This window comes from Homo sapiens, chromosome 2, assembly GCF_000001405.40.
Source record: "Homo sapiens chromosome 2, GRCh38.p14 Primary Assembly".
Lineage (NCBI taxonomy): Eukaryota > Metazoa > Chordata > Mammalia > Primates > Hominidae > Homo > Homo sapiens.
Window position 1 is genome coordinate 188459068 of NC_000002.12, and position 16396 is coordinate 188475463.

The 16396-nt window shown below is 37.2% G+C and overlaps 1 protein-coding gene across 66 annotated transcripts in view; it reads left to right on the plus strand.

Moving 5' to 3' along the window:
• Window positions 1–16396, plus strand: part of GULP1 (GULP PTB domain containing engulfment adaptor 1) — a 304053-nt gene that overhangs the window by 167194 nt on the left and 120463 nt on the right. For 10 of the 66 annotated variants that reach the window (NM_001375929.1, NM_001375941.1, NM_001375934.1 and 7 more), the window contains one exon: window positions 7408–7501. The exons of the other annotated variants lie outside the window; for them this stretch is intronic. The gene's annotated coding sequence lies outside the window, so the exon portion shown is untranslated. Of the gene's footprint in view, window positions 1–7407; window positions 7502–16396 lie in introns of those variants that run through there. 66 annotated transcript variants of the gene reach the window in all.

Below are 16396 nucleotides of genomic sequence, written 5' to 3' on the forward strand. Positions count from 1 at the left end.
CCACATTTCTTTTTGTCCATTCACCTGTTGATACACACTTAGGTTGCTTCCAGTTCTTGCCTATTGTGAACAGAGCTGCAACAAACATGAAAGTGCAGTTATCGCTTTGACATACTGATTTCCTTTCTTTTCAGTATATACATAGCAGTGGGATTGCTGGAACATATGGTAGCTCTATTTTTAGTATTTTGAGGAACTTCCAAACTGTTCTCCATAGTGGTTGTATTAATTTACACTTCCACCAACAGTGTATGAGGATTTCCTTTTCTCCACATTCTCGCTAGCATTTTTTATTGCCTGTCTTTTGGATATAAGCCATTTTAATGGGAGGGAAAGAATGTACTTTCTGAGGCTACAGAAAATACATCCTTTTCATATGCCTATTTATCATTTTGTGTCTCCTTTTGAGAAATAGCTATTCAAATTTTTGCCCATATTTTAATCAGATTATTAGATTTTTTCCTGCAGAGTTGTTTGACCTCCTTATATATTCTGGTTATTAATCCCTTGTCAAGTGAGTAGTTTGCAAATTTTTTATCCCATTGATTGTTTCCTTTGCTGTGTAAATGCTTTTCAACTTAATGAGATACCATTTGTCCATTTTGCTTGGGTTGCCTGTACTTGTGGGTTATTACTAAAGAAATTTTTGCCCAGATCAATGTCCTGGATGTTTTCCCTAATGTTTTCTTATAGTAGTTTCATAATTTGAAGTCTTAGATTTAAGTCTTTGCCTATATTGATTTGATGTTTGTATATGGCAAGAGATGGGGTCTAGTTTCATTCTTTTGCATATGGATGTTCAGTTTTCCCAGCATCATTTATTGAAGAAACTGTCTTTTTCCCAGTGTATGTTTTTGGCGCCTTTATAGAAAGTGTGTTTACTGTAGGTGCGTGGATTTATTTCTGAATTCTCTATTGTGTTTCATTGGTCTATGTGTCTGTTTTTATGACAGTACTATGCTGTTTTGTTTGCTATAGCATTGTAGTACAATTTGAAGTCAGGTAATATGATTCCTCCATTTTTGTTCTTTTTGCTTAGGATAGCTTTGGCTACTGTGGGTCTTTTATGGTTTCATACAAATTTTAGGATAGTTGTTTTCTATTTCTTTGAAGAATGTCGTTGGTATTTTGATAGGGATTTCATTGAATCTGTAGATTGCTTTAGGGTAGTATGTACATTTTAACAATATTGATTCTTCCAACCCACGAACATGGAATATCTTTGCATTTTCTGGTCTTCTCTTTAGCTTTTCTCATTCGCATTTTATAGTTTTAATTATAGGGATCTTTCACTTCTTTGGTTAAGTTAATTCCTAGGTATTTAATTTTATTTGTGGCTATTGTAAATGGGAATTCTTTTTTTTTTTTTAGATTGTTTACTGTTGGCATCTAAAAATCCTGTAGAATTTTGTAGGTTGATTTTTATGTTCTACAATTTTACTGAATTTGTTTATGAGTTCTAATAGTTATTTTTGTGTTTTGGTGGAGTGTTTAGGTTTTTCCAAATATAATATCCTTTCATCTGCAAATAAAAATAGTTTGGCTTCTTCCTTTCCAATTTGGCTGCCCTTTATTTCTTTCTCTTGTCTGATTTCTCCAGCTAGGACTTCCAGTACTGTGTAGAATAACAGTGGTGAAAGTGTGCATCCTTGTTGTGTTCAGATTTCAGGGGTAAGGCTTTCAGTTTGTCTCCGTTCAGTATGACACTAGCTGTGGGTCTGTCATATATGGTTTTAATTATGTTGAGGTATGTTCTTTCTATACCCAGTTTTTGAGGGTCTTTATCGTGAGGGGATGTTGAATTTTCAGCATCAATTGCAATGATTGTATGGTTTTTATCCTTCAGTCTGTTTTTATGATGTAACACATTGATTTATTTGCATATGTTAAACCATTATTGCATCCTAAGGGTAAATCCCACTTGGTCATGATGAATAATCTTTTAAATGTATTGTTGAATTTGGTTTGCTACCACTTTGTAGAGGATTTTTGCATCAATATTCTTCAGTGATATTGGCCTATAGTTTTTTATTTTCTATTTATGTATTTATTTATTTATGATGTGTCTTTGTCTGGTTTTGTTATCAGGATAATCCTGGCCTCATAAAATGAATTTGGAAGTATTCCCTCCACCTCTGTTTTTCGAATAGTTTAAATAGTTTGAGTAGGATTGGTATTAGCTCTTCTTTAAATGTTTGGTAGAATTCAACAGTGAAGCCATTGGGTCCTGGGCTTCATTTTACTGGTAAGCTTTTTTTTTTTTTTTTTTTGAGGCAGAGTTTTGCTCTTGTTGCCCAGGCTGGAGTGCAATGGCATGATCTCAGCTCACTGCAACCTCCGCCTCCTAAACTCAAGCAATTCTCCTACCTCAGCCTCCCGAGTAGCTGAGATTACAGGCATGCACCACCATTCCCAGCTAGTTTTGTATTTTTAGTAGAGATGGGTCAGGCTGGACTCAAACTCCCGACCTCAGGTGATCCACCCACCTTAGCCTCCCAAAGTGCTGGGATTATAGGCTGAACCACCGTGACTGGCCCTGGGAACCTTTTAATTATGGCTTTAATCTTGTTACTTATTATTGCTCTATTCAGGTTTTGAATTTCTTCCTGGTTCAATCTTGGTAGGTTGTATGTGTCTAGGAATTTGTCCATTTCTTCTAGACATAGTAGCTCATAGTAGCCACTAATGATTCTTTGAATTTCTGGGATAGCAGTTGTAAAATTTTCTTTTTCATCTCTGCTTTTATTTGCAATGTCTCTGTTTTTTCTTAGTCTGGGTGAAGGTTTGTCAATTTTATTTAACTTTTCAAAAAAATAGTCTTTCATTGCTTTTTTATAGTGTTTTCTTCATTTTAATTTTATTTATTTCTGCTTGATCTTTATTATTTCTCCTCTGTTGGTTTGGGTTTTGGTTTGTTCTTGTTTTTCTAGTTCTTTAAGATGCATGATTACATTATTTATTTGAAGTTTTTCTTCTTTTTTGTTGGAGTCACTTACAGCTATAAACTTCCCTCTTCGTACTGCTTTTGCTGTATCCAGTGTGCTTCAGTATGTTATGTTTTCATTATCATTTGTTTCAATAAATTTTTCAACTTTCTGCTTAGTTTCCTCATTGACTCATTGGTCATTCAGGAGCATATTGTGTAATTTTTATGTCTTTATATAGTTTCCAAATTTTCTCTTATTGATTTCTACTTTTATTCCACTGTGGTCTGAAGAGATGCTTGATATTATTTCAATTTTTTGAATGTTTTAAAACTTGTTTTGTGACCTAACATATGGTCTATCCTTAAGAATGTTTCATGTGCTGCAGAACAGAATGTGTATTCTGCAGCAATTTGATGAAATGCTCTGTAAATACCTATTAGCTCCATTTGGCCGAGAGTGCAGATTAAATTTGAATTTTCTTTGTTTTCCATCTGGAAGATATTTCCAGTGCTTATAGTGGGGCGTTGAAGTCTCCCGCTATTATTGGATTGGAGTCTATCTCTTTAGGTCTAATAATATTTGCTTCATATATCTGGGTGCTCCAGTGTTGGGTGCATATATATTTAAAATTGTTATATCCTTTTGCTGAATTAACCTCTTCATTATTATATAGTGAACTTCTTTGTCTTTTCTTACAGTTTCTTCCTGTTTTCCTTTTATTGAAGATGATTTTGTCTGGTGATATGATTTAGTTTCTTGTTTTTTATTTTTTGTATATTCATTATATATTTTTTTGCTTTGAGGTTACCATGAAGCTTGCAAATACCATCTTATAACCCATCATTTTAAGCTGATAACAACTTAACATCATTTTCATAAACAAACAAACAAGGAATTAAAACTTATAAAGACTTGATGCCATAACTTCATACCCGTTTTCTTTTAACTTTTTTGTTACTACTTATATCTTATTGTTCCATTTTTCTTGAAAAGTTGTTTTAGTTATTATTTTTGATTGGATCATTGTTTAGTTTTTGTACTTAAGAGTAGTTCATAAACTGTGATTACAGTGTTGTAATATTCTCTGTTTTTCTGTATTCTCACTATTCAGTGAGTTTTGTATCTTCATTAACATTTCTTATTGCTCATTAACATACTTTTCTTTCTGATTTAAGTATTCCCTTTAGCATTTCTTGTGGGAAAGGTCTGGTGTTGCTGAAATCCCTCAGCTTTTGTTTGTCTGGTAAAAGGTTTATTTCTCCTTCAAATTTGAAAGATATTTTTGCCATATACATTCTAGGAAAAAATATTTTTGCCTTCAGCACTTTAATTATGTCATGCCATGCTCTCCTGGCCTGTAAAGTTCCCACTGAAAAGTCTACTGTCAGATGTATTGGAACTCAATTTTCTGTTATTTGTTTCTTTTCTCTTGCTGCTTTTAGCACCCTTTCTTTATCCTTGACCTTTGGGAGTTTGATTAAATGCCTTAGGAGTCTTCTTTGGATTAGATCTCCTTGGTGTTCTATAACCTTCTTTTACTTGGGTATTGATATATTTCTCTAGGTTTAGGAAGTTCGCTGTTATTATCCCTTTCTACTCCTATCTTTTTCTCTACCTTCTCTTTAAGGCTAATAACTCTTAGATTTGCCCTGTTGCGGCTTTCTAGATGCTGTCCATGCACTTCATTGTTTTTATTTTTTTTTCTTCGTTTTTCTCCTCTGACTGTGTGCTTCCAAATAGCCTGTCTTCAAGCCCACTAATTCTTTCCTCTGCTTTATCAATTCTTCTTTTAAAAGACTCTGATGCATTCTTTGGTATGACATTTGCATTTTTCAGCTCCAGAATTTCTGCTTGATTCTTTTTAATTATTTCAATGTCTTTTTTAAATTTATCTGATAGAATTTTGAATTCCTTCTCTGTGTTATCTTGAATGTCTTTAAGTTTTTTTCATTCAGATATTGTGAATTCTCTGTCTGAATTCAAAGGTCACATATCTCTGTTTCTCCAGGATTGTTCCCTGATGTCTTATTTAGTTCATTTGGTGAGGTCATCTTTTCCTGGATCATCTTGATACTTGTAGATGTTAATGTGTCTGGCCATTGAAGAGTTAGGTATTTATTGTAGTCTCCACAATCTGAGCTTGTTTGTATGCATCCTTCTTGGGCAGGCTTTCCAGATATTCAAAATGACTTAGTTGTTGTGATTTAAGCTGTATCTTCCTTATGGGGGACCTCAAGTTCCCTAATGCTGTGGTTCTTATAGACTCATAGAGGTACTATATTGATGGTCTAGGTCAAGATCCCAAAGAATTCTCTGGATTACCAGGCAGAGATTATTGTTCTCTTCCCTTACTTTCTCTCAAACAAAGTCCCTCTGTCTGTTCTGAGCCACCTGGAGCAGAGGGTAGAGTGGCACATCACCCCTGTAGGCACCACCCATAGCTTGCACTGGGTCAGACCTGAAGCCAGCACAGCACTGGTTCTCACCTAAGGCCTGCTGTAAACCATTCCCTGGCTCCTGCCTATTTTTGCTCAAAACTCTGAGGCTCTACAATCAGCAGGTAGCAATGCCAGCCAGGCCTGTGTTCTTTCCTTTAGGGCAGTGAGTTGCCCCAGGACCTAGATCGGTTCAGAGGTGCCACCTGGGAGCCAGGGACTAGAGTCAGAAACCTTAGAAGTCCACTTGTTGTTCTATTGTACTGTGGTTAAGCTGGCAACTCAAATAAGGAGATGCAGTCCTCCCATTTTTGCCTCCCCTTTCCAAAGGCAGAAGAGCCTCACCATGTGGCCACTGCCACTTCAGGCCTATGGGGAGTACTGCCAGGCTACTGCCATTGTTCCCTAAGGCCTAATGGCTATTTAATCAGCTTCTAGTGAATGTTGTCAAGCCTGAGACTCAACCGTCATGGCAGTGGGCTTCCTCTCTTCCCCAGAGAAGGTCCAGAAATGCCATCCAAGAGTCAAGTCCTAGAATCAGAGACCTCAGAGCCCACTTCATGCTCTACCACCCTGTGGCTGAGCTGGTACCTAAGGTGCAAGACAATGTCCCCTTTACTTTTTCCTCCACTTCTCTCAAGCAGAAGGAGTCTCACCCTGTAGCCACCACAGCTGGAAATGTGCTGAGTCTCACCTGAAGCCAGTAAGTCTCAGAGTCTCACTCAATGTTCTTAATGTAGTACCTGGGTATTGCTTCTGGTTATTATTCTGGTTATTCTTTTGTTAAGGGCATGTTACAAATCTTGCCATGACTGAGTTCTTCCCTTCAAGGCAGTAGGTTCCTTTCTGGTACATGGTGTTTCTAGAAATGTCATCAGGAAGCTAAGGTCTGAACAGGGGCTGTAAGACTGACTGGTGCCCTATCCTGCCCTGGCTGAGCTGGTATCCAAGAGGCAAGACAGAGTCCTCCCCACTCTTCCCTCTCTGATCCTCAAGCAGAAGGAAGGGGTCTCCTTTGCAGCCACAAACTATGCAGCCTGAGGTTAGTGGAAAGGTGATGCCAGCAGTCCCCTAGCAGTCCTGGCTGGTGTCTCAGTAGGTCATGACCCCCTCTCTCCCTCAGCCCACACTGACTCTGGGCCCAGAGCACTTTAGCTCATGATGGCAAGGCTTGGGGGAACTGAAGTTCCAAACACTGGGATTGGCAATTCTCCTTTGTGTGGGGCTTGTTTAAATTCTCCCTCCTTGGGCGAGCGTCACCTGAGTTTGGCCTGGTTTTGCTTTCTGCTATTAACAAGGGCAGCACTGAGTTCAATGCCTCAGAATTGCTAGCTCTTACTCTCCCCAGTGCACAGCAATGCTCTCAGAAACACCAGGCTGCCTCTCTGAGCAGGGTTGCCTCTACTGAGGGATGGCGGAGGGGTGGGGTCTGAGATTCAAGACTGTTTTTCCAGTGCCTCTTTCCGTGGTATGAAGGTAAAACCAGGTAGTGTGAGTGCTTACCTGATTTTTGGCTCTTATGAAGGTGTGTGTGTGTGTATATGTGTGTGTGTGTGTGTGTGTAGATAGTTGTTAACTTGGTGTCCTCACTGGGGGGACAATTGAGAGAGCCTTCTATTTTGCCATTTTGTTCTACCCTTCTCCCCAGTCAGGCTATTTTAGTCCCTGTCTTCTGAAAGTGCAATGCAAAGGTCACCAGTTATCTCCATGTTCTGCAACTCATGGCCATTTTTCAGGCTTTCTTTTTGTAGAGCTCTCAATATCATTTAATCATGTTTTCTCTTAATAAAAACATACTTCATTTGGATACCAGAAGGGCACACTTTGTGGTTTTTATTTGACCTCAGTGGCTGGTTTTTTTTTCCCCCCCCGGAGTCTTGCTCTGTCACCCAGGCTGGAGTGCAGTGGTGCAATCTCAGCTCACTGCAAGCTCCGCCTCCCAGTTTCACACCACTCTCCTGCCTCAGTCTCCCGAGTAGCTGGGACTACAGGCACCTGCCACCATGCCCAGCTAATTTTTTTTTTTTTTTTTTTTGTATTTTCAGTAGAGACGGGGTTTCACCATGTTAACCAGGATGGTCTCGATCTCCTGACCTCGTGATCCGCCTGCCTCGGCCTCCCAAAGTGCTGAGATTACAGGTGATGGCTGTTTTTTATCTATCTCTAGCTTGCTCTTCTTATTCTGCCTCATTCATAAATTTGGCATGCTTTTAGGCTCAATTATCATTTATCTATTTACATATACTTCTTAACTAATCTCATAATGTGTGAGCTGGTTACTTTATAAGTCATGTCTCTATTCCTACCCTACCTACCAGATCATGACTCATGTATCCAACTACTAGCTCAGCATCTCATCTTTGCTGTCTGGTAGGTATCTCAGAACTAACATATCCAAAACAGAAGTCTTGACAGGTAGGGATACTCACCGCTATACTAATAAGGAAAGGCTTCAAAACAAAAGTCTTGAATTCTGCCTTTCAAACTTTGCTTTCCCCAAGTGTCTCTTTCATAATAAATGGCACTATGATTCACTCAGTTAAGAAGAAAAAAAAAAGTAGCAGCTGTCCTTGAATTTTCTTTCTGTTACCCTCAATATTCATCCATCAATTAGACTGGTCAGGTTTCCCTTAGAAGTATGAATCAAGCAAGACTGACAAGGGTCTGGGGACATGACACAGTTGAAAAAAAAAAAGCTTGTGGCAAAAGTTAAAAGAGAAGTCTCATTATTTTCAAGAATTGGAGTTAGGAGGATAATAATGCTAAATCTCAGGGGTTGGAAAGACCTGGAATTAAACTGGAACAAAGAGTAGAGAGTTCTTGTTGCTATTGAGGCAACCTTCTCTTTCTGCCTGGAAGTGTTGCATATTTTCTCTCTGCCTGTAATATTCTTAATTTTATGATAACATGCCTAGGTCTGAAACTTACAGTTTGAGATTTTTCATAATCTTTTTTAATTCTCTGAACTTTCTCTCCATAATTTTATCAGTTATACCCTCCTCTTTATGTTTTTCTCTATGGTAATCTCAGTATCAAGATTTTGGCAGTTTTATTTAATATATCTTGGTATTTATTTAGTATATTTATTTACTTTTTTGTAGTCATCTAGGAGAATTTCTCCACTTTATCTTTGAACTCAGTAATACATCCGTAAGCTGTACACACAGTTCTCCAATATAGGCCATTTATCATTGCTTTAAAAAAATCTCAGCTATTATATTTCCTACTAATATTTTCCATGTGGTTCACTTATCGATAACTCATTTTTTTCCTCATTTACAAATATCTTTCCCTTTGTTTTTAGGCATATTGACATATGAGATACTAAATAAACATTTTAAAAGATATGAAAAAATAAATGATTAAGTCAATCAAATGAAGATTCTGTCACAGATGGTCTAGTGCTCGCTTTATGAATTTCTCAGAGGCTGCCTGTCATAGATGATATAAAAGACATGTCTGATTAAGTGATGAATTGAATTAGATGCTAACATAATTTCATTCTGTTCTTAGGATTTGTTTCCATAAAAAGCTTAAATAAAGAAAATGTCTCTATTTCCTTACTAGAGTCCATTTATCTTTCATATTTGGTATCAGAACAATCAACAGCGTTTGCTTGACTTCAATGAAACTTTTGTCTGAAAATATGTATGACTGAATCAAATTGTTCACTAATTTTTATTGCTTTAAGGATATATATTATTTTAACAGATTTCTTTTGTTTAGTAGAACTGTCTGTCAGAGAATGATCTTTGATGTCATTATTAGCTTGTTTACAGTGTTTTCTTTGATGAAATTATTCATTGTTTTTATTTGTATAGTTTGTTCATAATATTGTGTGATATGTGTAATAAAGGAAAAGTATAGTTTTGTTACTCAGATGACTGGATAACCTTAGAGAATTTCCTTACTCTAAAAATATCTTCAAAATTATTAAAGATTATTTTTAAAATTGACATACACTTTAAATAAAGTTGGGAGCTAATATATGTGTCTGTAAATCAATAAAGTGTATATGATTTCATAACTTGATTTGCTCATTTGATTTGTAATTCAACATATATTAACTATAGATATGTACTTGATACTAGAGAAGCAAAGATAACACCATTATTTTGAAAAAACTAGATTTATTCACGTTTCTAGGACATCTTTTGCAATTCATTTGAGGGAACAGTTTTTATAGTGAAATGAAAGCACTCATTAGTGTGAGAGAATGAGAAGGCTAGCTCCTTTTCAGTGGATATTTTGAAAGGAAAATTTGAAAATTAGTTCAGTGAAATAGATTGGGGTTAGTTGCCAGAAATCTTTCCAAATATGATTGAGTAGACTGTCAAATAAAAAAACAAATCTGGACTTAGGTACGAGAGACTTTATTGGAAAGGATGTTTGCAACGAGGGGAGGGGGGCAATTGCAATAAGGAAAATATGCCAACTATAAGATCAGCAAGTGTCTCAAAGGGTAAGCAGTGAAGTGTTTTGTTTTGTTTTAGGGAATAGTAAGCAAGACTAGAAAGAATTGGGTGTAGGAAAGTAGGACAAATGAGGGTGGTGCGATTAGGGATAGGAGCTCAGAGAATGAGGTACCCTTTAAAACATAGTCAGCCTGTTATTAGGAGAGGATGTAAATGAAGGGTTGAGGCTGCTGAGGCTGAATATGGATTAGAGTTTAGGGGCCTACGGGAAGGCGTAAAGCTTAACTAAAGTTTGATTAAGTCGATGTAGCAAATATTTTGTCCAGTTTGGTCAGTGGCCCAAACAGTTCAGCTAATCATTTATGAAGGAAATAATGGCATTTTGGAGGTCTAGGCCTGGCCTTGTCATAGGGACACAAGGGAAGTGTCCTGCATCTCATCTAAGTTATATGGGGAAGGGTTCCTTGCAATAAGCTGTTTCTGGAACACAAAGGTGTGGGATAATTTCTTTTAACTTTTGCTTGTTTTCCGGGATCACAAGTGCATTAGTCCATTCTCACATTGATATAAAAAGATACCTGAAACTGGGTAAATTATAAAGAAATGAGGTTTAACTGGCTCACGGTTCTGCAGGCTGTACAGGAAGCATAGTGGTTTCTGCTTCTGGGGAGGCTTCAGGAACCTCTAGTCATGGCAGTAGGCAAAGGGGGAGTGAGGCATCTCACATGGTGTGAGCAGGAGCAAGAGAGAGTGAATAGCAGTGGTGAAAGTGTGCATCCTTGTGTTCCAGATTTCAAAGGAAAGGCTTTCAGTCTTTCTTCATTTAGTATGATAGTAGCTGTGGGTCTGTCATATATGGTTTTTATTATGTAGAAGTATGTTTCTTCTATACTCATTTTTTATGGTTTTTATCATGAAAGATGTTGAATTTTATCAAATGCTTTTTTAGCATCTATTGAAATGATCGTATGGTTTTTAATCCTTTGATCTGTTTGTATGATGCAGCACACTGATTGATTTGCCTATGTTGAATCATTCTTTCATCCCAGAGATAAAATCCCACTTGGGATTCATGATGAATGATATTTTTAATGTATTGTTGAATGCAGTTCGCTAGTACTGTGTTGAGGATTTTTGCATCAGTATTCATTAGTGATATTGGCTTATAGTTTTCTTTTTTTCAGATGTGCCTTTATCTGGTTTTAGAGTCAAGGTAATACTGGCCTCATAGAATGAGTTTGGAAGTATTCTCTCCTCCTCTATTTTTTGGAATACTTTGGGTAGTATTGGTATTAATTCTCTAAATGTTTGGTAGAATTGAGCAGTGAAGCCATCAGGTCCCAGGGTTTTCTTTACTGTGAGGCTTTATTACAGCTTTGATCTTGTCACTTGTTATTGATTTGTTCATGTTTTGAATATCTTCCTGGTTCAATCGTGATACATTTTATGTCTCTAGGAATTTGTCCATTTATTCTAGATTTTTCTAATTTATTGGCTTGCAGTTGCTCATAGTAGCCACTAATGATCCTTTGAATGTCTGCTGTATCAGTTGTACAGTCTCCTTTTATGTGTCCGATTTGATTTATTTGGATATTTTCTCTTTACTAATTTTGAGTTTGGGTTGCTCTTGTTTTCCTAATTTTTAAGATGTATCATTAGGTTGTTTATTTGAAGCTTTTCTTCTTTTTTGATGGAGTCACTTATGGCTATAAACTTCCCTCTTAGTACTGCTTTGGCTGTATTCCATAGGTTTTCATATACTGAGTTTCCATTGTCATTTGTTTCAGGAAAATTTCCAATTTCCTTCTCAATTTCTTCACTAACCCACTCATCATTCTGGAGCATATTGTTTAATTTTCATATATTTGTATAGTTTTCAGAATTCTTCTTGTTATTGATTTCTAGTTTTATTCAGTTTTGGTCAGAGAAGATGCTAGATATTATTTCAGTTTTTTGAATATTTTAAACTGTTTTGTGATCTAACATATGATCTATCCTTGAGAATGATCCATGCTCTGAGGAAAATAATGTGTATTCTGCAATCACTGGAGTAAATGTTCTGTAAATATCTGTTACCTCCATTTTGTCTAGAGTGTAGATTAAGTTTGAAGTTGCTTTGTTAATTTTTTGTCTGGAACATCGGTTTAGTGCTAAAAGTGGGATGTTGAAATCTCCAGCTATTATTGTATTGGAGTCTAACTCTATATTTTAAAAATTGTTATATCCTCTTGCTGAATTGACCACTTCATTATTATATAGTGACCTTCTTTTTCTCCTTTGGTACTATTTGCCTTGAAATCTATTTTATCTGAAATAAATATAGCTACTCCTACTCTTTTTTGGTTTCTCTTGGCATGGAATACCTTTATACCTTTATTATCAGTCTATGAGTGCCTTTATAGGTGAAGTGTGTTTCTTATAGGCAACAGATCAGTGACTCTTCCCACCACCGCCCACCCGCCCCACCTTGTTTAGTTAGTCTATGTCTTTTGATTGGAGAGTTTCGTCCATTTATGTTCAGTGGTATTATTGATGACTAAGGACTTACTCCTGCCGTTTTATTATTTGTTTTCTGGTTGTTTTGTGATCTTCTCTTCCTTTTTTCTTTCCCTCCTGTCTTCCTTTTATTGAAGGAGATTTTGTCTGGTGATATGATTTAGTTTTTTGCCTTTCATTTTTTGTGTATCCCTTGTATGTTTTTTGGTTTGAGGTTACAATGAGGCTTGCAAGTATTACTTTATAACACATTATCTTAAGCTGATAACAACTTAACACTGTTTGCATAAACCAACTAACAAGCAAAAATAAATGAAATAAAAACTCTACATCTTAACTATGTCCCTGCTTTAACTTTTTATTATTTCCATTTATATCTTATTGTACTATGTCCAGAAAAGTTGTTGTAGTTATTATTTTTGATTGTTTCATGGTTTAGTCTTTCTGCTTCAGAGTAGTTTACACACCACAGTTACAGTGTCACAGTATTCTGTTTTTCTGTGTTCTTACCATTACCTGTGAGTTTTGTATCTTTGGTGTTGCTTATTCCTCATTAATGTTCTTTTCTTTCTGACTAAAGTACTTGCTTTAGCATCTATTCTAGGACAGGTCTCGTGTTGATGAAATAACTCAGCTATTGTTTGTCTGGGAAAGTCTTTATGTCTCCTTTATGTTTAAAGGATATTTTCACTGTATATACTATTCTAGGATAAAAGATTTTTTTCCTTTAGCAGTTTAAATATGTCATGACATTCTCTCTTGGCCTGTAAGGTTTCCACTGGAAATTCTGCTGCCAGATGTATTGGAACTCCATTGTGTGTTATTATTTATTTCCTTTCTTTTGTTGATTTTAGCATCTTTTCTTTATCCTTGATCTTTGGGAGTTTGATTATTAATGGCCTTGAGATTGTCTTCTTTGTGTTAAATCTGCTTGGTGTTGTATAACCTTCTCGTACTTGGATATTGCTCTCTTACTCTAGGTTTGTGAAGTTTTCTGATATTATCCTTTTGAATAAACTTTCTACTCCTATCTCTTTCTCTGTTCCCTCTTTAAGGCCAATTAACACTTAGATTTGCTCTTTTGAGGCTATTTTCTAGATTCGGCAGGCACGCTTCATTCTTTTTAATTCTTTTTTTCTTTTGTCTCCTCTGACCATGTATTTTTCAATAGCTTGGCTTCAGGCTCATTAATTGTTTCTTCTGTTTGGTCAATTCTGCTATTAAAAGACTCTGATATGTTCTTTACCATGTCCATTGCATTTTTCAGGTCCAGAATTTCATTTCTGCTTGATTCCTTTTAATTATTTCAATCTCTTTCTTTAATTTATCTAATAGAATTCTGAATGCCTTCTCTATCTTGAATTTCTTTGAGTTTCTTCAACAAAGCTATTTTGAATTCTCTGTCTGAAAGGTGACACATCTTTGTTTTTCCAGGATTGTTTTCTCATGCCTGATTTAGTTTATTTGGTGAGGTCATGTTTACCTGGATTGTCCTAGTACTTGTAGATGATTGTCTGTGTCTGGGCATTGAAGAGTTAGGTATTTATTGTAGTCTTTGCAGTCTGCTCTTGTTTGTACCTGTCCTTCTTGGGAAAGCTTTTCAGGTATTCAAAAAGACTTGGATGTTGTGATCTAAGTTGTATCTGCTTTGGGGGGGACCCCAAGCCCAGTAATGCTGTGGTTCTTAGAGACTCATAGAGATACTGCCCTGATGGTCTTGGACAAGATCTGAAAGAATTCTCCAGATCACCATGCAGAGAGTTGACCTCTTCTCTTCTTCTTTTCTTTTTCTTTCAAACAAATGGGGTCTCTCTTTCTCTCTCTCTCTCTCTCTCTCTGTTCTGAACCACCAGAAGTAGGGTGGAGTGACATACTGTGTTGGGTCAGACCTGAAGCCAGAACAGCACTGGTTCTTGCCCAAGACCTGCTGTAACCCCTGGCTATTGCCTGTTTTCTCTCAAGACCATGGGGCTTTACAGTCAGCAGGTGGCAAAGCCAGCTAGGCCTCTGTCCTTCCATTCAGGGCACTGTGTTATCCCAGGCCCCAGGCAGGTCCAGAGTTGCCTATTGGAAGCCGTGAACTAGAGTCAAAACCACTTAGAAGTCTTTCTGGTGTTCTATTGTACTGTGGCTGAGCTGAAACCACAAGACACAGTCCTTCTCAATCTTTCATCCCCTTTCCAAAGGAAGGTATGCCTCACCCCATGGCAACTGTCACTACAGGCCTGCAGTGAGTACTGCCAGCCTACTGCTGATGTTACCTTAAGGTCCGTGGGCTCTTTAGTCAGCTTGTGCTGAATCTTGCCAGTCCTGAGACTCACCCTTCTGGGCAGTGGACTCGCCTCTGGCCAAGGACAGGTCCAGAAATGTTGTGCAAGAGCCCAGTTTTGGAATCAGCAACCCCAAGAGACGAGTTGGTTCTCTACCCCACTGTGGCTGAGCTGGTATCTAGGTGCAAGACAAAGTCCCCTTTACTTTTCCCTCCACTTTTCTCAAGCTGAAGGAGTCTTGCCCCATAGCCACCACAGTTGGGAATGTGCTGAGTCTCACTTGAAGCCAGCAAGCCTCAGAGTCTCACCCAAGTTTCTTGATGTACCACCTGAGTATTACTGCTGGTTATTCAATGCCCAAGGGCTCTTCAGTTAGTAGGTAATGAAGGCTACTAGTACTGAGTTTTTCCTTTCAAGGCAAAGAGAAAGGATTATCTTCTGGTGCAAGATGTCTAGAAATGTTGTATTGGAGCTAGAGCCTGGAACAGGTACCTGATAACTCTGACAGATGCCCTACCCTGCTGTCACTGAGCTGCTATCCAAGATGCAAGACAGAGTCCTTTCCACTCTTCCCTCTTCTCTCCTTGAATGGAAAGAAGGGGTCTCTTTTGGAGCTTAATTGCCTCAGCTTGTGTCTCAGTAGGTCACGTGCCCCAGCATTCTACTAGCTCTGGACCCAGTTCATCACTAGGACTCACCTAAAACTTGCATTGCTTATGGCCTAGACTGCCTTTCCAGTTTATTTGGAGCCCCAGAACACTTTAGCCCACAGTGGCAAGGCTTGTGGTAACTAAAGTTTCGACAGCTGGGATCAGACATATCCCTCTGGCTAAGGCAGTTTTAAAAGCTCCCTCCATGGCCAGGGGTCAGTTGAGTTTGGTGTGGTTTTCCTTTTTGTTATAACAGGATAACACTGAGTTGAACGCCTTACAATTGCTGTGGTCTCCCTTCCCCAGCACTCAGAAATGCTCCTGCTGAGGGTAGGAGAGGAGTGATGCTGGTGATTCAGAACTGTTCCTTCTACCTTTTCAGTGCCTCTTTCAGTGATACTGAGTTAAAACCAGGCACTGTGAGTGCTCATCTGATGTTTGATTCTTGTGAAGGTTCTTTTGTTTGTTTGTTTGGATAGTTGTTAAATTGATGTCTTTGTTGGGGAGACGATTGGTGGAGCCTTCTATTCTGCCATCTTGTTCTGCCTCCCAAAAGTAACAATTTTTTAATAATAGGGAAATGATTCATGCATGTGTTTGTAGTCACTAAAACAATATTTGTGAAAAGTTTCTCTATAAAGAAGGATTTATGTTACACCATAAATTGAGATAAAGTCAATTTACATAGAATTGTATTTCTTAACTTATTCACATTAAAATTTTAACTATATATTTTATTTCAATTATAAAAGTACATTAAAACATGCATTATTAATACATAAAATAAATAGTACATTGAATGCCAACCTAGTGTCACGTATTGTATTATACACGTTGGGGTACTGAACAAAGTAGCTAGTATCTACATACTTTCTGGTGGAGTTGTAAGACGTGTTTTACAAAAAAAGTGTAGAGTGCACATTGCATCAAATAAAATGCTAAGAAGTGGGGTTTGGATAGTTAAATTATAGTTTATTTCAAAAGAATGACTTATCTGATATATATCGACATTTATATCTATGCATTTTGTGAGCAAGCAAAAGTGCTTCTGGTGTTTTAGAGTCATTGTATTATCATGTCATTATATATCCTCCATGTTTGCTCCAATGAACTTTATATAATTATGTGAAGAGTTTTTTTTTGTTGTTATTCTTGTTCCATTTATATGCCCCCAAGTTGTTTATATTTTATTTTTTTAATTTA